At 37.9% G+C, this 24,642-nt stretch overlaps 1 long non-coding RNA gene across 1 annotated transcript in view; it reads right to left on the minus strand.

The window, feature by feature from the left end:
- The window catches only part of LINC02994 (long intergenic non-protein coding RNA 2994), a 331,088-nt gene that overhangs the window by 297,091 nt on the left and 9,355 nt on the right, over window positions 1–24,642 (minus strand). The window contains exons 3-4 of the long non-coding RNA NR_125909.1: window positions 21,497–21,655; window positions 19,034–19,154 (exon numbers count right to left, since the gene is read on the minus strand). This is a non-coding gene — a long non-coding RNA (long intergenic non-protein coding RNA 2994). The remainder of the gene's footprint in view (window positions 1–19,033; window positions 19,155–21,496; window positions 21,656–24,642) is intronic.

Raw genomic sequence — 24,642 nt, forward strand, 5'->3', positions numbered from 1 at the left:
CAAGGGTTGATTCAACAAAGGGAATGTTGTATATACACATCGTGAAATCACTATGCAGCCAAAAAACAAAAACAACAAAAAAAATGAAATCATGTCCTTTGCAGCAACATGGATGGAGCTGGAGTCCATTATAAGTGATATAACTCAGAAACAGAAAATCAAATACCAAATATTCTCTCCCATTATAAGTGAGAGCTAAATAATGGGTACATATGGACATAAAAATGGAAAAAATTATACTGGGCACCCCAAAATGGGGGAGGATGGGAGAGCAGTGGGGGTTTAAAAAATTACCTATTGGGTAAAATGTTCACTATTTGAGTGATGGGTATACTAGAAGCCCAAACCTCAACATTATGTGACATATCCATGTAACCTGCACATGGACCCCCCGAATATAAATTTTTTAAGTCTTTCTGTCTTCTTTCTCCTCTACAGTTTCTCTTGAAATTACATTTTTGTGCTTTGTGATTATTTATTTTTACTATTATCTTTCTTTTAAAAATCATTTATAATTATCAGGCTTACACTAAAATGTCCCAGGACTATTAAAAGTTGTGTAGCCAAGAACAGAAAACCAAACACTGCATGTTCTCACTCATAAGTGGGAGTTGAACAATGAGAACACATGGACACAGGGAGGGGAACATCACACACCAGGGCCTGTTGTGGGGTGGGGGACTAGGGGAGGGATAGCATTAGGAGAAATACCTAATGTAGATGACAGGTTGACGGGTGCAGCAAACCACATGGCACAAGTATACCTATGTAAGAAACCTGCATGTTCTGCACGTGTATCCCAGAACTTAAAGTATAATAAAAATAAAAAATAAAAGATGTGTAGCCTGTGTTTTACCCAGACAAGCTCTCAATAAAACCATGAGCTGCTTTCAAATCCAAGTTGTCCTTTTCTCAGTCAGTTGGAAGAGGTAGGTTATTAATAATTCTAAATTAAATCACGAGCTCAGATGCAGTGAAAACTGGTGTTGAAAATAGATACATTTTCTCAAACAACGGGACTCAAGATAATCACCTTAACATATCTTCTCCATGTTCAAGTGGCTCTATGAAATGTTTTATTCACCAGTAGACTTGATTGAAGATCCATCTCCTCATTTATATCAGAGATTATTGTGGGAAGGAGATTTGTTGCATAGGTGTGTTTGAGAGGTCCTCAGAAGGCACAAAAATGTGGAACAGTCATAAATCCAAGGAAACTGTAGATGTCTCCATTGATAGAGGAAAAAATGCCAGATGGTTGTGGGGAACAACACAGGCCACAGAGATCTTTGAAAGAGAATGGAACCAGGATGGGAGAAGCTTGGGTCTTGTTAGGAAAATAAAAAGTCAAGTAGGAAATAATTGCATCAGTGGAACTTCATAACTTTAAATGAACTTACAATGTTATTATCACTCCATAAGGACCAGCAAACTCTCCTCACAGCTGCTATCAATATCTCCTACACTCTGATCTTAATCATGTTTTTCTGGATCATTCCTTAATTGACTCCTGATTTGTTTACTAGACATTTATTGAAAGCTTACCATGTGCCAGGAACCATCCTAAGCTCTTGAGATACAATCATGAGCACAATTAAACACAATCCTACCCAAAGAGAGCTCAGAGTTTGTTAGGAGACAAAGGCTACATAGCTCAAACAACCAGTCAATCACATGGTAAAAACCAAAGCTGTGAAATGTGACATGACTGAAAAGGAAATGGTATTCTGAGAGCATACAACAGGGTTTTGGCAGATCAGGGAAGGCTTCCCAGGAGCAATAAGCCTTGAACTTAAAAATGAAGGAAGAATGGATGTTAAGTGGGTGAAAATGGGGGCAGGGAGCAGGTGGCCTTATGTGCTAAAGGAACAGGATGTGCAAATGCTCTGTGGCAGGGGAGATTGCATGGAGTACAAGGAACTAAAAGAAGGCCAAGTTCACTAAAGTCAAGAGAGGAACAGGGAATGATGTGTGAGATCTGTAGGGACCAGACTGTTCAGGGCCCTGTGAGTCTTGTTAAGGAATTTTTACTTTATTCTGAGAGTAATGGGAAGAATTTGAGGGGTGATATTGTATTATACCTCCACTATATGATTTTACCAGTATTCCAGCTGCCACCCCACGCACTTAATGCAATGTAAAATTGAACTAAATTTGGGAAACATAGTAGAAAAGCAACCAGGGAGATCTGAACAAATTGCAATTGGAGATCCACAATTGAGATTCCTGTAGGCAATGAGAAAGCATGGGAATGAACCTGAAACCCAAGGCAAAACTGTGGGTCAAAACAACCTGGATGTTATCCCTGAATAAAATTCATAGTGTTCCCATAAATTGCACCTCCAGACTTCCCTCCTCCCTGTCCTTCAGCCATTTGAGGATTTCCTAATGTTCTGGCCCTTCGAATGTCCATCACAATTGCAAAGGTAAAATGAATGGTAATAAGAAATTGATTTAAGGTCTGCCCTAGGGTAAAATAATGATTCATTGACGTTTGCAGCATTTTATTGTAAGTGTGGTGGAAATGATTATTATCTTTAATGGTTAACTGAGTAATTGATTATTGATAAATGAGTACTCTATTCAAGCCAGGATCCATCTTACATCACCTGGAAAAGGATGATGTTCCTACTCTTTTAATGACCATTAAGTGGTAAATAAGGAAGTGGAAATGTTTCATAACTTACATATTAAGTATCTTTGGTCATTTAACCACCTCTACAATGAGAGCAATAAGGGAGCTGGGGGTAGGTAACCGACATAAGGAAAGATCAATGACTGTTTTTCAGAGTTTTATTGAAAGTGCATTATGGATTGTCTTGCTTTTAACATTATTACTTCATTGAATAACGATATATGAGTAGACTAAGGGGAAAAATTAGAATCTAGCTATGCAAGGCTATCTGTGTGATAGGATGGGAATTACATAGTAAAATGGCCTCCAGAGAAAACTTCAATCTCACCCATTCCCTCTACACAGTGCAAATAGATTGGAAGTTGGGAAAACAAAATGAATGAAGTTTGTCTTTGTGCCCCACTTATCTCCTTTTTGTTGCACCCCTGTCTACCTTCTGATGTCCCTTCATAGTTACCCACTGGACCCCTGTGCTGCTGTCCTGCTACCCAAAGTCCACTCCCACTCACAACTGCTGCATGTCACTGAGATGCATAATTCACATAAATTTTCCCAAGTGCCATAAAGATCTCTCCTGCAATCACAATCCCCTTTCACACATCCCATTTCTTCAGTATTTTGATCTCAGTCAAGCCTTAGAAAGAAAGCAACCTAATTTAACCAATTTATACTATGTCCCATTAACCTGCTTTGAGGTGAATTCATTTTAGTAAAGAATGCCAATTATATATTTAATACATTTCTAATGAGGGGACTTTCAAGAGGCTTAACAAAGTGACATGCAGTTTTATGGAACTCTGTGTTGAGGCGGGTGACACCTTTGCCAAGGATGGCTGTCAGAGGCAGGGTAAATTGTTAGGAAGAGCACAGACTCTACAACAGAATTGAGTTCAAATCCTGGCTTTCCTCCTATTAGCTGGGGTACCCTCTGAGACTCAAATTCATCTGTAAAGTGAATGCTACTGTCTCATGAGATTAGAGTAAGGATTAGATAAAAATAATATATGCCTGGTGCCTAGCACAGCAGCTGGCACATAGTAAAAACAATCCAATTGTCATTATTATATTTATAGGGGCAAGTGAGTGGTTAAGGCATTCTAACCAAGGACCAATGGGAACCACTGATAATCATCTGTTTTGTTTTGTTTTTTTTCAAGGAAGAAATGAGTGAGCTGATCAAGACCTTAGGAAGAAAGGAAAGAGGTGGGCATCTGAGCATCATGGTCCACAGAATAATGATCCCTGACTCCAAGTTTAATTTGAAACTTATTTTGAGAACCATAAACTTCTAAAAGGCACTCTGCTTGCTTTGGCCTTAGCTTCAAAAGCAAAGCTTTAATACTAGCCTATTAACATCTTCAATATAATTTGAGAGGTCATTCATGTCTTCTCATGGATATTTATGTCTACCATAGAATGATTTTAGGTGAAGTAGCATAGTTTCACTTCTCATAGGTCATGATGATTACAATCACCAAGACAGCAGTTTCTTTTAAATATTTTCTCTTACAGTCGTATTCTGTATATTTCTGCCTATCACTGTCTTCTAATACTTTTAAAGATTGACAATATTTCCTAACCATGTACCTAGGCCCTGGAAAGTTAAAAATTTTACCTCCTTCTGTCGTTTCTTTCCCCGGATCCAAAACAGAGTACCAGTGGTTGTAGCTTTGGTCTATTCTTCACCCTAAGTCCTCCCTTCAATCACTCCTGAGGCCATGGCAAATATATAAAAATAGTTTGATTGGGTTTGGAAAATATCAATCTAGTGTATCTTCTCTTAAATCATTTCTGGAAGAAAATTATTTATAACTTAATGTTTCAAATATACCATCTCTTTTTAAAGTGAGAGGAGGCAGAATCTAGCCATAAATTCATTACTTGTAACCCTTGACCCCAGAGCTTCAAGCCAGCCATATATCATACAGCAGAGAGTCAAAGTTCAGAGTCCCTGTAAATCATACAAAGCAGTTACTCCTCTAATAGTCTATTGAAAAGAGCCACCAATCTACTTTAAATGAAAAAGAAAGAAGTCCTTACTTACCACAGCCCCCTGGCCATGCAGACTACTGCACTGAAGACATAGGGAGAGGCAGTGGGAGAAATATGGAGTTAGTGAGAATGTTGTCAGTTGCAGGGAGAATGGATAAGGGCATTGCATTAAGGTAATTGTATAATATTGCATTTCCTCCATAGTATTTACTCAAGGCAGTGGTATTCCAATTATGTCCCATCTAGCCTAAGGATTCTGTAGAGTGCCTAGCACAAGGTCCAGGAAAAGGCTAAGCAGGTGTAGTGAGGGATATCCTACAACCAGGACAGTTCTACATATATCACTGGGCATCCATCTATATATGTATATATATGAACATACTGGAAAAAATAATAAGAGTTCTAGTTCTAAAAAATTTTTGAAACTCATTGACACAAGGTTCTGGAGGATTATTTATATGCCTCAGTAGCCAAAAGATAAAGAGAGAGAAAATACATAATGGTCTTTGAGGCATCTTTAAAAATTACTGTTCTTTGGCCCCTGTCAAACTGGAAATGATAAACATCATGTAAGAATAGCTGACATGTATCAAGTGCATATCATGATCCCTGTACTTCGTTAAGGGTTTTGCATTGATACATCTCATCATATCACAAAGAGACAGGTTACATGACAAACCCCATTTTCAAGTAGGAAAACAGAGGCTCAGGTGACTAAAATGTATCCAAAGTTGCACAGCTAGAATAAGACAGAAGTTTGTCTTATTCACATATCAATTCAATGAAGGTGTTTGGTAAATGGTCTGCCACTAGTTAATTCATGAACACAGGTTTTTTTTTAATCCTGCAGCTCTTTTCCCAGAGCTTCAGAGGCCTTGACTGTATTTCTCCATCTGATAATAAGGTTCTGGACAGCAGAAAGATAGGAGATAGTAGAGGATTGCATAGGAGGTTTTTAAGTGCTAGACCTGGAGTGGGATGCATCATTGCTGTCCACGTTTCATTGGCCAGAACTCAGTCATGTGGATGTGTCCAACTCTAAAAATATTTGGGAAATGTATTCTAGCTATGTGCCCAGGAGGAAAGGGAAAATAGTTACTTGCCAATCTCTACTGCAATAGAGGATTCAAACTCAAGGAACTTTAAATCCTCCAGAGGCCACCACACTACAGAATTAGCTTGTCTTCAGAAATAAAAGAATCATTAAGAACTGTCATCTCTAGGGGTCACCATTGCAAATTCTGAAGAATCCCTAAGAACATGGCAGATGTAGATTCATTCATTTATTCATGCAACATTTACTGAACATCTACTATAAGCCAGGCAGTTATTCATTCATTCATTTATTCAACATTTATTAAGCTCTCACTGTGTGCCAGGCCTATAATGGGGGCTGCAGCAATAAACAAGACAGAAACAGTCCCTGCCAACATGGAACTCACATCTCACAAACTGGAATTGTATTTCTCACATAAGACATTTTACTACTGTCTACAAAGTCATGTACCACTTTGTGTTTTATGCTCTTTCAGCTTCTGTTGTTTAGCTTGAATATATATATGGAAATGTAGGAAAACACACATTTTCTATACTGAGTTCCTTTCAAAAGGAAAAGCTCTTACAGTGTTTGTCTTTGTGTCTTCAGTACCTAACATAGTATATGGCATATGCACAAATTCTCATGTCATGGAAAAAGTACTAGACTAGGAATCACACAGTTTTTATTTTGTTCTTATTATGCCATTCAGTTCTTATACAATTTAAGCATGTTTCCTCGCTGCAAACTAAAACATTCAGAATAAAACAATTTTGCAGATATTTCCATCTTTAAAACATAAACTTAACATTTTGAATGCGATTAGTCTAGTAGAAACAACATTGAATCAGGGGTCAGCAGATGTGGACCATAGCCTTAGTTCTCCAGTTTCTTGAGGAAATCAACAAAAATCTTTATTTTTTAAAAAATTTTTTTCACCCCAAAATCTTTAATCCTCAGTCTATTCACTGGCAAACAAAAAAAAAAATGAGAATTAAAAGTATCCCTTCAATATCTAATATTCTATTAGTATTTATGATACTAATATTGGGTACCAAAAGATCAGATGCCTGCCATAGAGTTTAATTTCCTACAGCCAAATCCTAAACAAGGACCCCTGAAGATCTGAGAGAGGCAGAACACCTTCTGTGTGTAACAGGAGTAATTTTCTCTTTCTACCTGGTCATTTTTAATATTTTTTATTTTCTCCAAAATTCAAAGCCGTTTTTGCTTTAACTAGGTGGGTTGGTATTGAATAACTTTGTATTTCAACACAGTTTACTCTGCTAATTCACTACTTACTAGTGTATTAAACACTGGGGTCTACTTGAGGACAGAGGGTGGGAAAAGGGAGAGGATCAGAAAGCATAACTATTGTGTACTAGGCTTAGTACCTGGGTGATGAAATAATCTGTACAACAAACCCCCATGACATGAGTTTACCTATGTAACAATCCTGCACATGTAACCCTGAGCCTATAATAAAAGTTTTTAAAAAAAAGTTGTATTACTCTGGATTCTCGTCTTTCCTTCCCCCAAATTAGAAACTGTGTCAGAGCAAGGTGACTCATAACAGCCTAAACAATGGGGCTGTCTCTCCCTGTCTTTAAAAATATATATATATTGACAGCAGTTTATAAACTGCATACTCTCACAATGCAGGGAGAAGGGAGACTGTTTCTCAAAATATTTCCATTCATCATTATATTTATTTAAGATCTTAATCAAAATGATAAGAAATATGGTCTTCATCACAAGGGAAAAAATTTACTATCTCTGGAAGTCAAGAGGTTATGAGCTATTAAGATTCATAAAATGTTTAGTTCTGTACTGAAAATTAACAAAAACAGTTGTTAGTGAGACTAGTTCTATTTGTAATGTTGTTTAATGAAATAATATTTGTAGTGCATATGAGGGCCTTGAAAGAAATGTTTTAGTTGACATAAGATATGACTGTGGTTAGTATACCAATACAGAGGAGATGTAAACATTTGTCTGAAAATGTCCACAATTAGGACAACAAAAATAATAAAACTAGGGTTCAGTGTTTCTAATCCTGTGTAGAGAGGATTCCTTTTTAAAATACAATTAAGCCTAAGTCAGAGTTAGACTGCTTGCAAATTCTATCCATTGGCATCGCTAGAACATGGATTTTGATTTGGGTTGGGGAAGGGGGCTAGAAACATTCTTCAGTAAAGAATGAAGAATTAAAAGTCTCAGAGTCAAAGGTTTGTGATACCTTCATTCATTAGTTAAAAACAAATTTCTTGGAAATGAGAGACTGCAATTCAAGCATTATTTGTTCCCATCCTAATATTCTCCAGGTCCACTTTGCTGGCTGCCTGGGAGCCTGAATGATGCTAATATTCTGTGTCCAGCAATGGCTGCATTGGCCCCGAGGTCCTGAGAGAAATGGGTAAGTCAATAGTAGTATGCACACTCCACATGTGTAGTTTTTTCTGTAAGTACATAAATCCTGCAGAAACCAGTACCTGCTCTTGTGCCTTCAAAACCACACTGAACAGAGCCTTATTCTATAAAACCTGATAGGAAGACTTGGATAATTCATTTCTAAATCAGTGGTTTCCAAAGTATGAGAATACGAAATGATCAACTAGGCTATAGAAGGAAGATGCTTAAGTGGGAGCTAAATATTGAGTTCACATGGACACAAAGAAGGGAACAACAGAAACTGGGGCTTGCTTGAGGGTGGCAGGCGGGATGAGGGAAAGAATCAAAAAACTCTCTGTCAGGTACAATGTTTATTATCTGGGTGATGAAATTATCTGCACACCAAATCTCCATGACATGCAATTTACCTATATAATAAACCTGCATGTGTACCTGTGAACCCAAAATATATTTTAAAAAAGGACGAAAATAAACTTCATCCCCTCCAAAAACTAAGAAAAATTGAGTTTTACTAGTATCTCACATGTGGATGGCAACTAGAACATATATATATATGTGTGTGTATATATATATGTATATATATACACACATATGTATATATCTAATATAATGATATAGATATAACTATATCTATAGCATTAAAAATTATGCATGTATTGGAGGGATATCAGTCAGGTTGTCAGCAACAAAAAGAAGGTATCCTCAGATTGAATAAACCAAGGCAAGTTTCATATAGGAACAATTGACAAAAGTTTGGAGCACCGAAATATAGTAAAAGCAACAAGAGACAGGGCATACAGGACAAGTAATGGCAGGGAGGGGCATAAGGAGGGAGTGGACACCCAAACCAAAGACAGAGTTACAGAGAGGGCCATCTAACAGGACTTGTGGCCTTTGGTAAGGGACCCAGATAAGCCAGGGAAAAAAGTACCCTGGCCTCACTCTCTCCTATCCTCCAGGTTTCCTGCCAAACCCAATTGGAATTCAGAGGACATAAGAGCCCACTGATGCAGTCCATATGGGTCAGCCTCCACATGTAGCATACAGTGGTACACAGAGCTATCCATCAAAGATGTGCCCCCCCCTCCAGTTATTTTTCCTAATAGAGTTACTCCTTATTATAATTTTACAATGTTAAGATACCACTGTTCTAAATAACTTCACAAGATATTATGACTGTACTAGCAAAAAGCTAAGTTCAGAAGGCTTAGACTGCCTAGATGTAGACTCAGTGGCCTAATCCAATTAGACCTTTGCTAATGGGAAAAGTCTGTTCTCCATACAAAAAGGGAGAGTGTACCACTTGGGTCATACGTTTGCTGTTTCTGCTTTGAATTATCAGGCTAATGTTCACTCATTGGATTTTATTTATTCATTCACTCATTCATTTTTTTATTCATTATGTCAGGCTATGTATAAGTGCTGAGAATAAAAAGATAAATTATATATAATCTCTGGCCTCAAGATTCAATAATTTGTGAAAGGAGACAGATATATAATCAATATGTACAGTTGTATTGTAATTATGCTGAGAGATTAGAGCTGGCTACAACGGGTTTACAAAGAAAAAATGGTCAGTTGTACTGGAGATTGAGAGATGGTCAAGAATCATTTTATGTAAACAAAATAAATAAGTTCTAGAGATCTGCTATACAACATTGTACCTATAGTCAACAATACTGTATTGTACATTTAGAATTTTAAGATAATATATCTCATGCTATAGTCTTACCACAATAAAACAAAATTAATAATAATAAAAAGAATTGTTTCATATAGGCATTGGTTTGGGAACACTGAAGGAGAAGACAGACAAAATATTCTAGGCAAAAAGAATGTATATAGCAAAATGACTTGATAAATTTGGGGAACTAGAAATATTTTGGCACAGTAAAAATGGGGGAAAGAACATAATCAAATTGAAAAGTCAACCAGGCCAAGATTGTAGAAAAGCCTTATTAACTAACCTAAAAGTAGAACCTTTTATCTATACTTCTGTATTGGATCCTTAGTTTGGGTAACTCTAACTCATTTTACTTGAATCAGGTACTTCAGCTGGAAAATAAGAACTACTAATCATATGCCATCACATAGAATCAATGGAAAAACTCATTCTGAACCACAGTATTAACAGCTATCCCTATTTTAAGGTGAAGGAACCAACATTAAACCGCAATTTTTCCTAAGGTCAGTTTTGGATGCTGTGGAATGGCATGTTTTTTCAAGGATTTCTAGGCTATTTCAGGTAACCATGTGGCTAAAATAATCTGGTTTTATCATTAGAATTAAAATTAATATATCGACTAGCCATGCCACAGATTATCAAATAGAGCCTAATTATGACATGGCATCAAAGATCTCTTTCCTTCTTATATGTTTCCTAGTTACTGAAATGCACTCCTACCAAAAAGCTCTCAGTCCCACCACAAAAAGAGCAGAGCCTGAACATTTTCATGGACATCCGTTATTTTCATAGTAGTATAGTCCTGATGATTCAACAATTCCCCAGTTAGTTGACCTATACAGGTATGGGAACACTGGCTTTAGCAAGTTCTATTTCTGAAAACACCATAGGCTAATTAATTTGCCTTATATGTACTAACCCTGATTTTCATCCTGCCCCAATCAAAAAAATATCTATTAATTGCATAGAGCAGTTTAGAGAGTGCACTGGCTATTTGACAACTCAAATGCATAAAGAAATTCAATAAGGATGGTTTGCAAGGAACAATGGAGTGAAGAATAAATTCTGAGAGCACTGCAAGTCAAAGTTGACCTCTTAAAGGAGTACATCAAATGAATGAACAATAAATTTTCCATAAGGCAAACCAAAGCATATTTTATAAAGCAAGAATTGTCTCTGCTGAATACTCAACAAGGCCCCTAATGGGCCCAATTCTTCACCAATATAACTCTCACAGACGGGATTTGCTCTTTCTGCAACACATTCACTGGCACTAATATTTCATTAGGCTATTCCCGATCAATATTCCTGCCATGACTGTCTAAAGGCACCACTGAGAAGGAAGTATCTGGAAGACTTTTCAGCAGTTGGATCCTTCTAAGGACAAAGTGAGGTGTTATATTGCCACTTAAGAATTCAAAGGTAAATAAAGGAAGATACCTTTCTACTTCTAGTTACTCTCTTTGAGACAAACCAGAGGAGCTTGTCATTATAGACAAAATTCTTACCCACAAATCTCTGAGGGGTTTTCATAATGTTATATTCTAACCCTTTCAAGCTAGAGTTGCTTCTAAAGGTCAGAATAATTACATCCAGTCCCCAGCCCAAGTATCAGTGGTTATAGTTGCTAGACCACCCTGAGCCAACAGGAATACAGTGGGAGGCATGGCAAATAGGTAAGGAACAGCTTCCGTCAGTGAAATCAAATCTGTCTTCTCAAGAAACAAGGAAGAGCCAGGAAGAGCTGGTGTCATACTAGGCCTCCTAAAATTGTTACTGCCTTCTCTCAACCTCATCCAGGCTCCATCACAAAGAGAGTTGCATGTAAGATTAGACGCTCAGAGTCTCTCCATTGCCTTTTGATTCTTCATTCTCAGCTTATTTTTGGTTGTAATCTATGAAATCAGTGAAACTGAAGAAGTTGCAGATGAATTGCTTGTGAACTGATTTATGATCTTTATTGCACCAGAGAAGTAATTGTATGCATACAACTTCCTTTTACAATTACCTCCACATGATTTCAAAGCAATTCACTGCCTATGGGAGGAGGCCATCAATAAGTGACACTTGCATATTCATTCATTTCAATATGAGAGTTTTTAAAGGCTCAGGGGAATAGTTCAGTGCTATTGAAAATTACTTTTCTTCCATCAGGATTTTTCTAATTGTTTTTGTTTTTGTTTTTTAGAGAGAAAAAAACATGATGCTATCAAAATCTGGTTTTATTTAACTTTATTTTTACTCTTATTTTATTTTTAAATAGATTATATTTAAGAGGGTTGAAATGAGAGGCTGCATTTATGAAATGCCAACTATAAGCCAAAAACTGTGCTAACCTGTGTATCTATGTTAATTCTTGTATTCCTGCCAATGCCATAATTACTTTGCCTTTATTTATTTATTTATTTCAATAGGTTTTTGGGGAACAAGTAGTGTTTGGTTACATGAATAAGTTCTTTTGTGGTGATTTCTGAGATTTAGGTTCAGCCATCACCCGAGCAGTGTACACTGTACCGAATGTGTAGTCTTTTATCCCTCACTCCCCTCCCACCCTTTCCCCTGAATCCTCAAAGTTCATTATATCATTCTTATGCCTTTGTGTCCTCATAGCTTAGCTTCCACTTATGAGTGAGAACATATGATGTTTGGTTTTCCATTCCTGAGTTACTTCACTTAGAATAATGGTCTTCAATTCCATTCAGGTTGCTGAAAACATTTAACTAGTGAAGAAACTCAAAGAAGCATAAGTATTTGCCCAAGGTCAAGCAGCAAATAAATGACAGACAGGGCAGACAGGGTAGTGTCTGAACTCACATCTAACTACAAAATCCATCCTCTTTCCATGACTTCACCCTGCACTCAGCTTTTTGGGATACAATTCCATCTGTTTTATATTTCTCAGATTGTGGAAAGGTTTTTCAACTTTGTTGAAATTACCTGAGACTGTTTACTATACCCCAAAAGTCTTGTGTAGCATATATTCTCTAAGCTATCTTTTTTTTTTCTTGTTATTTTTTTAAACATGACTTATATGGGGAAGCCCTAGTGCCCATCAGAATCTGTAAACCATGTATTCATGATCTTGCTTGACCCTAACAATTCTCCCAAGTCAGTTCTACTTCAGGGAAGGGGCAAAAATATCAGTAAACTTCATCGCAAGATATTGTGTTGACCAGTTTTTTTTCAAACTTCAGTGATTGCGTAACATCTACATCATTTTTGCTATATCTGAATGGTACTATACTATTTTTTATTTAATATGTTCCAATCAATTTTAACCTGACTCCATTTTTCACTTAGCATTGTTCTAAACAATAAAACATGAGTTTAGTGTATTTATCAATATTTTTCTTATGCATGTTAAAATATATGAATAACTAATAAAATAAAAAATGTTTGTCCATGCACCTTCCAAAGTCACACTTTGGGAAGCACTAATGTCAAATAATTGGCTGTGCTTTTCCACTTGTATCCATTTGTGTATGTGTCATTTGTTCATGGTCTCAGTTCACATATTCATTCATTCATTCATTCAAAAAACATTTATAGAGTACCAACTCTTGTGTTAGACACTGTTCCGGACACCAACAGCATGCAGAGAATGGTTTGGGCCAGGGAGAGAAGAAAAACATGGAGCCCAGGCAAGGGCTGCTGGATTATTAAAGTAATACAGGAAGAGAGGAAAGGGACTGAATGCACTCAGTAATAATAAGAAAGGGATTCATTTAAGAGACATTTCAGAAGTAGAATCAATAGAACTCCATGTTAACTTCAATTCACAATGTGGGTTAGGAAAAAGGAGGTAGAAAAATGGCTGTAAGGCCATTCAAATATTTTAACTGCATTAAATTATAATACTTTCTGACATCTTTAACAATCCTGAACACAACTGTAAATGCATAAGTAATGGAGAAACATAAGGAGGTGAAATCTTACTTAAAGCCAGATATAGCATTTAATATATTTAGCAATCTAGGTGGTATTGGCCACAGAACAATTGAAACAGATACAAGAAGGTCCTGCCGGCCTCTGGCGGAGCTAGGAGCAGGGAAGGTTTGGGAAAGGGTTAAGGAGTAGGAGGCTCAGGGTCTAGCTATTTATCCAGCAGTATAGAAAGATTTCAATATTCTACCAATGGTTGCAAACCTCTGGATTATCATCCTTGCTTAAGCCCATTCATGGCCCTCATCTCTCTTAGAATGTGTTCCAAAACTTGTCCTTGTGCCCAAGGTCTAGACTGTGTACCACACCTGCCTCATCCCAGCTCCCAACCCTCATCTTATCCCTGCTTCCTCCCACCTAAAATTCCAAGCCCTTAAATATACCATGTCTTCCACTGCAAGGCCCTCACACAAGTGTGTCTGTCCTTCAGTCTGGCACACTTTCCTGCCCCTCCTTCTAGCACACTCCTAGTCATCCTTCTGGCCCCATCTTGGATGGTATCCTCATGGAGGTTTCTCCTGACCTTCAATATCGAGACAGGTTTCCTCTTTACATGTGGTCACAGTACCCTGTCATTACTTGTTTCATGTCGGTTTTCTATAATAGACTCACTAATCTCCATGAGGGCAGGAACTAGGCCAGCCTTGTTCACCATCCCTCCCCAAAGCTTCATCTACAGCTTGCCATATCAAAAGAACTGAAAAGTAGCTATCCAAAAAGTTTTTCCTCTGCAAGAAGAGAGAGAAAACAGTGCTTATTCATTTACTATTGTTGATTAGGGGGAGCTTGGGAACATTTAGATGGAAATAGAATACTATATGCCAGATACTGACCTCAGAACTTATTTTTATCTGATTTAAGCTTTACTATAACTCTGAAGAGTAGGCATTATTATTCCTAATGTTTTTAGATGAGGACGCTGAGGCTTGAAGAAGTAAAGAAACTGGCTCAGAGTGACTCAGCAACTAAGCAGCTCAGTGAGGATAAAAAATTCTGCCCCAGTACTGCTTCCCAAGCATGATTATTAAACTCTCCCTGGCACATGACAGCACCACAATTGCCAGCAGATCACAGATAACAAGAGAGCTGAGGAATTTTGCTAGATGCCCTTACAGTAAGAAGGGACAGCTGGTACCATGGCATGAGATGAGAATACCCAAATCAGCCAGTCAGGGACAGGGCTATTTCAGTAATAGATGCCCATCAAATAGTGATCCTGACCCAACAAAAAGATTCATTTATTTTTGAGAAACTCTGTTTGATAAGGAAGTATGTGTATAGTTTAGAAGATTTTCATTAAAATCAGCTAACTTTTTAACAGTGCTTTAGATATTTGGCCAATTTGTCTCCTCTGAGCACTTTCTTCTCTATCCAGATCAATAAAGCATTGCAGTGCTTCAGACTAGACCGCAGTTTGGCTAAAAATGTTTAGTCTCCTTCCAAAGCTAAAGGAGACAAAGATTCAGCAAGATAGAATCCATTGATAACCAATCTGATTAGGATGCTTTTTTTGTGAAACTGATGGGTATTGATTCATTTACAACCAATTAGAGGCCTTTTGCCTGGGAAAAATCACTCTTATTCTGGCAGAAATGAACCTCATAAAACAGGTGGAAACAAAAGTTGTAAATTGTGTGACTGGTCTCCACAATAATTAATAAAATGCCTCATGGTTCTAATTTCTGCCCTGGCATTTCTTGTTTTGTGCAGCTATAATTTCAGTCACTTAGTAGTAGTTTTTCCTAAGCCTCATATTTCTGGTGAGCATCTTTTCTCACAAACAAAAAATGTTGCTTTTACAATACAGCTATATCATAAACTTCAAACAATCCTCATTGTCTTCTAATTGTCTGTGAGAATACAACATTAAGAAAAGTTTTATGGCCAAGTGTGGTGGCTCACACCTGAAAGCCTGGCACTTTGGGAGGTCGAGGTGGGTGGATCACCTGAGGTCAGGAGTTCAAGACCAGCCTGGCCAACATGGTGGAACCCTGTCTCTACTAAAAATACAAAAATTAGCTGGGTGTGGTAGTGCATGCCTGTAATCCCAGCTACTCGGGAGGCTGAGACACGAGTATTGCTTGAACCTGGGAGGCGGAGGTTGCAATGAGCTGAGATTGCACCACTGCACTCTAGCCTGGGCAACAGAGCAAGACTGTCTCAAAAAAAGAAAAAGAAAAGAAAAAAAAAAGTTGTATGATGTATTATTAAAATGTCTGCTATTACAATAAGGTGAATGTGTCCAGTGACCAATAGTTCTAAGGTCAGGATTTACACAGAATATAAAAATGATTTATCTATTATCACCCATCCCATGCTCTCATCTGCAGATACAGCCTGGGGAATGTGTGCCCTCTCAAAGCTTCATATATGTTCTTCTCAAAAAAGGGGAAGAATCACCTTATTTAAGAATCTCTTTAGAGTATCTCAGAAGGAATTATTTCAATAACTTTTTTTGAAGAACTGATTATTTTTATAAAGAAATTGCTTTACCTCATATCTACTTTAATCAATGCTAGTTCATAGAGGATATCTAACTGAATTAATAAGAAACTTTTTTAAAAAAATTAAAAATTGTAGCACAGTTTGTCACTGTTCTTGGGGGATGACCTCCCAAATGCAAGTGTTGGATCTTGCTGCAAATAAGCCTTTTTAAGAACTGCTAAACACACACACACACAAACACACACACATGCACACACACACGCGCACAGTAAATTACTTCCTTGCATGCAGAGATCATGTTTATGAAACTGTGGCTTAGTACAGAATTTCCAGGGGGAGCATATAATATACATGCACTTCAAAAAGTACGTAAATCAAACAATTTAGATGAGAGAAAAAATTACATGCTCTGGCAAACTGTGATAACAACTATTAAAGTGGCTCTGATGATGGCAAAGACACCAATGGCAAATATGTTTCTAAAGAGCATGACCAATATTGCTTTATGAAATGTGAGAGTGAATAAAATATTATTTCCACATTAGCATTATTTATATGATGGACTGCAAATGTTATCATAAATGCATAAATACCATGAATAGACAACTGGCTTTCTTCTCTATTAGCCCAAAAGTTTATATATACATTCAATTTACTCCCCAGATTGGTATCTTTTCATTGGAAAAATGAATGATCATCTTTTTTTTTTGAGAGCAGGGTATTTATCACTTTTCTTTAACTGTTATATTTCCACTGTGTAATGGACTGCCTGAAAGATAATAATTGCTTCAAAAATATTTAATTAATATACAAAATAATTAGACACCATTAGTATATAAAAAAGCAGGGGTACTAGACATATCCCCAAATCCACAAACATCTTAAGTTAAAACATCCTTGTTAACAAATCCACTTTGAGATTCCTGAAACTAATAAAATACACAGACTATTTTGAACCAATATTAGAGGTCATCTAATCCAATCTCTATTTTTCAGATGAGGAAATCACAGTTAGAACAATTAAATGCCCTTCTGCAAGACAGCTGGGATTAGAACCTTGAGCTTTCCATTAGATAGTATTATTGAGTTGCTTTCTTTGTATGGTTCATCGCAGCCTCTGATTTACACTTCATGTTGAAAGCAAGCAGTGTCTCTTGCCTGAGAACAGTTTCTGTTAAGCAAGGTAAACACACATTAATTGACCCTGAATAGCTGATGGACTGAGAGAGAAATGTAGAGTTTGTGATACAAAATCCAAGCAGATGCCCTTTCTGAGTTTTCATTATTTGCTAAAGAAGTTGGCCACCTAATCCCATAGAAATGTATGTAACGTTTTGGTTTTGATAAGCTCTCAATCATTATGGGTCTTGGTTCAGCTGACAGCCCTAGTTACTGTGAGGCAGAAAAACACTCCAGAGGTGCAGCAACACTGTTTAGACATTCACACAGCAAACCATGCATTTGTACCCAAGAAAAAATCAGTATAAGGGTCTCTCTTTCCTTGCATAATGTATTCTTTTATTAAAATAATCACTGTGTATCTCTAATAGAGATTTATGAACAGAAATCTTTATGTCACACTAACAATCCAAGAAGAAAAAGCCTAATTGTTGAGTTTTTTTTAAAAAATCCATTTGAATGCTGCTAACTTATTATTAAAATACACAAAATTTTTCCCCATTCTTCCTTCTTTTCCTCACTCATACTAAAATCCTCAGTGTATCTTAAACCCTCCTCGATTAATTAACTCTGTTAAATTTGCAAACAGTCCTCAGGGTAGACGATGTATAAGTACCTAGGCTACCATACACATGAAGCACACACATACCTTTACAATCCTTTAAGGAAGGATGCCATGATTTCTAATACACTACTAATAACTTATATGCTTCACTTACTAAGTACTGGACATTCTTCCAAACACTTATATCAACTTATATAATCTTCCTAACAACCTGGTACTATTATCATTTCCTTTGTACAGATAAGGAAATTGGAGCTCAGAGACATTAACTTACTAAGAGTCAAATGCAAGAAGTAAGTGGTGGAGCTGAGATTTAAACACAGGTACTCTGACTCCAGAGTTTGTGCTGTTAAATACGTTGCTATCGTTCTACAGTTTGATTTTAAATTGCTATTTTTACTCATACTGTGGACTGCTCATCCTTTGCTCTTTTTTTCTTTAACAAAGAATTTTCTCAGTATTCTAATCTTGTACTTAAGGTAATTGTTTATATTATGTAAGTTATTTCTATTATTAAGTAAAATAATCTGTGTGCTATAGAAAACACCAAGATTCAGGTTGAATTTCCATCCAAGGGGCTCATGATATAGATAAATGAGGAATTTCTCTAGATCCCCATGGAGTTGGTGGCATGGTGAGTTTGTGGAGTGTTTGAACATCAAAGTCTTTTTTTTTCCAAGTATCGAGGATGAATTAAATAATAAAACATGACCTGGCATGAATTACAGTATCTGAATTCATTTCTCTAACTAGTGTGTTTGTGGGCCCGAGGTTGAAAGCAATTAGGTGTGAATTATTACACCATCTTCCATGCCCTGGACGGTTTTATGATGATTATAAAATTTTATTATTAATGGTTCACTGTTTTTGGAGGAGTTGTTAATTTAAAAGTATATATTTATATTGTTAATTAATGAATAGGACAAAAATAGTTGGGTAAAAATCTTTCCGAAGAGCAGAATCTATCTAAGAGTGGAGAAGACCTCACTGACAGCAGGGGCTATGGCTGAATCCTGACCCCAGAGAGAGGCAGCATGCTGCAGTTCCACCAGGGATACCCAGGCTATTAGAGTGGTATGATGCCTTACAGACTACCTTGTTCAATTTCTTTGTTTTAAATATCAGGAAAAATAAGTGACTTGCCTGCGATCACACCATAAGTTAATAGCAGAGCTGAGTTGGCTCAGTCAAAGACACTTGGATCCTGACTCTCAGTGTGCAATGCTTCTCATTTTAAACAATTTAGAAAGATGTCACTGAATACCTAGAAAGGAATAAATAAAATTATTAGAAACTGGAAGACAAAAATCATAAAAAAGAAAACAATAGTTACTGTTTAATTGGGCTACTCTAAATGTCAAAATATGATTTGATTGTGAAATACTTTCCTAAGAATGCATTTTCTAGTGCATTCTTGTGTTGGAACCACAACTAGACAGGCCAGCTGATCCCAGAAGCCATGTATGTAATGACTAGCAGGAGCTCAGGTAATAGTCGCACATAATTTCCACCTGTGGGCCTCTTCTTGCCATGATTTTCAACTCCTCTCCATCCCTCATCCCCAAATTCTCTCTTCCTCCTGCTCACTGAAGGGTAAAGATATTTTCTTGGACAAATTCAGTCAAAAAGGAGTAATTGAAAACCAATTGAATTTTTCCCTGGGTTAGGCAAGAGAGAGGAAGTGTAGTGCTTGGTAACTAAGTTTGTTATCAAATAAATTGGTGCTGGAAGCAACCATGTAGAACTGCTGGAACATTGAGCAGAAGTCTATCTTTCTAACTAGTAAAGCTGAGTCTCATCTCTGTTGGGATTCTCCAGGGGGTCTTAGGCAAGTAGCCAAAATGAATTTTACTTTGAGAACATAGGTGTATGAGTGTCTATTTTTTCCTTCTCTTAGTACTCTAAATGTTTGCCAGGTGAAGCCATGCCAACAGTCATGATCAGTTTGACCTAACTGAGCAGTGATTGACAGTACCCTCCAATTCAGCTCTTACCTGTTTCTGATTGAGTTATTGCCTGAGCTCCTGGGAGTCTGACCTGAGTCTTCTCAGCTTACTATAACAGTCTCTTAATCAGAGACAGAAACAGCTCATAAGAGAATAAACACATTTTCTAGAAATAAACATGCTTTACTTCAAGTTCTGTATTGTACTCTGTTGCTATTGGAAATAAATTCACTCACTTGGACAATGGCATCATCCAAATCACTTTGAGCTCTCTCTAGTCCATCTAAGTCCAGTGTAATATTACTTCTGTAACATTAGATTGCTTTATGTGAGTTCTATAAATACCATGGATAATTACAAAACTGAGCAAATCGCTCTATTAGGCAATGCCCTCCCTCAAATAATTCTATAAAAGAAGCAATGTTTTGTGATGTCTCTCTTTCTTCTCTCTAGGCACCCATTCCTATGCTGAGTTGGGGGAATGACTATGTACTGAATTACAATTGAGTTTCAAAACCTGAAACTCTTGTATCATGTCAAATACTCCAAAGATGTCTCTACTCACACTCCATCAAATAAAACTCCAACACTTCATATTCCCAATACACAAAATTGCCAATAATCAGTGGCTGGCCAGATGGCCATATAGGAACAGCTATGGTCTGCAGCTCCCAGCAAGATCAATGCAGAGGGCAGGTGATTTCTGCATTTCCAACTGAGGTACCTGGCTCATCTCATTGGGACTGGTTAGACAGTGGGTACAGCCCATGGAGGCTGAGCCAAGGCAGGGTGGGGTGTTACTTCACCCAGGAAGGGCAAGGGGTCAGGGAATGCCCTCCCTGAGCCAAGGGAAGCCACAAGGGACTGTGCTGTAAGGAACGGTGCACTCCAGCCCAGACACTACACTTTTCCCATGGTCTTCACAACCTGTGGACCAAGAGATTACCTTGGGTGCCTATGCCACTAGGGCCCTGGGTTTCAAACACAAAACTGCATGGCCGTTTGGGCAGACACTGAGCTAGCTGCAAGAGTTTTTTTCATACCCCAGTGGCACCTGAACGCCAGCTAGACAGAACTGTTCATTCCCCTGGAAACGTTGCTGAAGCCAGGGAGCCAACTGGTCTAGCTCAGCGGATCCCACCCCCATGCAGCCCAGCAGGCTAAGATCCACTGGCTTGAAATTCTCACTGCCAGCACAGCAGTCTGAAGTTGACCTGGAATGCTGGATCTTGGTGGGGGAAGGGGCGTCTGCCATTATTGAGGCCTGAGTATGTGGGTTTCCCCTAAAAGTGTAAACAAAGCCGCCAGGAAGTTCAAATGGGTGGAACCAATGGCAGCTGGGCAAAGACACTGTAGACAGACTGCCTCTCTAGATTCCTCCTCTCTGGGCAGGGCATCTCTGAAAGAAAATCAGCAGCTCCAGTCAGGGAGTTATAGATTAAACTCCCATCTCCCTGAGACAGAGCACCTGGGGGAAGGGGCAGCTGTGGGCACAGCTTCAGCAGACTTAAACATTCCTGTCTTCCAGCTCTGAAGACAGCAGCGGACCTCCTAGCACAGTGCTCGAGCTCTGCTAAGGGACAGACTGCCTCCTCAAGTGGATCCCTGACCCCTGTGCCTCCTGACTGGGAGACACCTCCTAGCAGCAGTTGACAGATACCTCATTTCGGGGAGCTCTGGCTGGCATCTGGCAGGTGACTCTCTAGGAAGAAGCTTCCAGAGGAAGGAATAGGCAGCAATCTTTGCTGTTCTGCAGCCTCCACTGGTGATACCCAGGCAAATAGGGTCTGGAGTGAACCTCCAGCAAACTCCAGCAGACCTGCAGCAGAGGGGCCTGACTGTTAGAAGGAAAACTAACAAACAGAAAAGAATAGCATCAATATCAAGAAAAAGGACATCCACACAAAAACCCCATCTGAAGGTAACCAACATCAAAGATCAAAGGTAGATAAATCCATGAAGATGAGGAAAAGCCAGCACAAAAAGGCTGAAAATTCCAAAAACCAGAAAGCCTCCTCTCCTCCAAAAAATCACAACTACTCACCAGAAAGGAAACAAAACTAGATGGATAATGTGTCTCGTGAATTGACAGGCTTCAGAAGGTGGATAATAACGAACTCCTTTGAGCTAAAGGAGCATGTTCTAACCCAATGTAAGGAAGCTAAAAACCTGAAAAAAATGTTAGAAGAATTGCTAACTAGAATAACCAGTTTAGAGAAGAATATAAATGACCTGATGGAGCTGAAAAACACAGCACAAGAACTTCATAGAGCATACACAAGTATCAATAGCCAAATTAATCAAGCAGAAGAAAAGATGTCAGAGATTGAAGATCAACTTAATGAAATAAAGCATGAAGACAAGATTAGAGAAATAAGAATGAAAAGGAATGAACAAAGCCTCCAAGAAATATGGGACTATGTGAAAAGACCAAACCTACATTTGATTGGTGTACCTGAAAGTGACGGGGAGAATGGAACCAAGGTGAAAAACACTCTTCAGGATATTATCTGGGAGAACGTCCCCAACCTCGGTAGACAGACCAACATTCAAATTCAGGAAATACAGAGAACACCACAAAGATACTCCTCAAGAAGAGCAACCCAAAGACACATAATTGTCAGATTCACCAAGGTTGAAATGAAGGAAAAAAATGTTAAGGGCAGCCAGAGAGAAAGGTCGGGTTACCCACAAAAGGAAGCCCATCAGACTAACAGTGGATCGCTCTGCAGAAACCCTACAAGACAGAAGAGAGTAGGAGCCAATATTCGACACTTAAAAAAAAAGAGTTTTCAACCCAGAATTTCATATCCAGCCCAACTAAGCTTCATAAGTGAAGGAGAAATAAAATCCTTTACAGACAAGCAAATGCTGAGAGATTATGTCATCACCAGGCCTGCCTTACAAGAGCTCCTAAAGGAAGCACTAAATATGGAAAGGGAAAACTGGTACCAGCCACTGAAACAAACATACCAAATTGTAAAGACCATCAATACTATGAAGAAACTGCATCAACTAACAGGCAAAATAACCAGCTAGCATTATAATGACAGGATCAAATTCATACATAATAATATTAATCTGAAATGTAAATGGGCTAAATACCCCAATTAAAAGACACACATTGGCAAATTGGATAAAGAGTCAAGACCCATCAGTGTGCTGTATTCAGGAGACCAATCTCACATGCAAAGACACACATAGGCTCAAAATAAAGGGTTGGAGGAATGTTCATCAAGCAAATGGAAAGCCAAGAAAAAAGCAAGGGTTGTAAACCTAGTCTCTGATAAAACAGATTTTAAACCAACAAAGATCAAAAAAGACAAAGAAGGGCATGACATAATGGTAAAGGGATCAATGCAACAAGAAGAGCTAACTATCCTAAATATATATGCACCCAATACAGGAGCACCCAGATTCATAAAGCAAGTTCTTAGAGAGCTACAAAGAGACTTAGACTCCCAAACAATAATAGTGGGAGACTTTAATGCCCCACTTTCAATATTAGACAGATCAATTGACAGAAAATTAACAAGGATATTCAGGACTTGAACTCAGCTCTGGACCAAGTGGACCTCATAAAACAGGTGGAAACAAAAGTTGTAAATTGTGTGACTGGTCTCCACGATAATTAATAAAATGCCTCATGGTTCTAATTTCTGTTCTGGCATTTCTTGTTTTGTCCAACTACAACTTCACTCACTTAGTAGTTTCTCCTAAACCCCAGATTTCTGGTGAACACCTTGTCTCATGAACAAAAAATGTTGCTTTTACAATACCGATATATTATAAACTTCAAACAATCATCATTGTCTTCTAGTTGTCTGTAAGAACACAACATTAAGAAAAGTTGCATGGCCAGGTGTGGTGGCTCATGTCTGTAATCTGGGCACTTTGGGAGGTCGAGGCAGGTGGATTGCCTGAGGTCAGGGGTTCAAGACCAGCCTGGCCAACATAGTGAAACCCTGTCTCTACTGAAAATACAAAAATTATCTGTGTGTGGTAGTGCACACCTGTAATTGGGAGGCTGAGACACGAGAATTGCTAATGGACATCTACAGAACTCTCCACCCCAAATCAACAGAATATACATTCTTTTCAGCAACACATCACACTTATTCTAAATTTGACCACATAATTGGAAGTAAAACACTGCTCAGCAAAAGCAAAATAATGGAAATCATAACAAACTGTCTCTCTGACCATAGTACAATCAAATTAGAACTCAGGATTAAGAAACTCACTCAAAACTGCACAACTACGTGGAAACTGAACAACCTGCTCCTGAATGACTGCTACTGGGTAAATAACAAAATAAAGACAGAAATAAATGAATTCTTTGAAAACAATGAGAACAAAGACACAACACACCAGAATCTCTGGGACACAGCTAAAGCAGTGTTTAGAGGGAAATTTATAGCACTAAATGCCCACAGGAGAAAGTGGGAAAGATCTAAAATCGACATCTTAACATCACAATTAAAAGAACTAGAGAAGCAAGAAGCAAGAGAAAACAAATTCAAAACCTAGCAAAAGACAAGAAATAACTAAGATCAGAGCAGAACTGAAGGAGAGAGAGACATGAAAACACCCTTCAAAAAATCAATGAATCCAGGAGCTGGTTTTTTGAAAAGATTAACAAACTAGATGGACTGCTAGCCAGACTAATAAAGAATAAAAGAGAGAAGAATCAAATAGACACAATAAAAAATGATAAAGGTGAGATCACCACTGATCCCACAGAAATACAAACTACCATCAGAGAATACTATAAACACCTCTACACAAATAAACTAGAAAATCTAG

This window comes from Homo sapiens, chromosome 4 (genome assembly GCF_000001405.40).
Source record: "Homo sapiens chromosome 4, GRCh38.p14 Primary Assembly".
NCBI classification, from domain to species: Eukaryota; Metazoa; Chordata; class Mammalia; order Primates; family Hominidae; genus Homo; species Homo sapiens.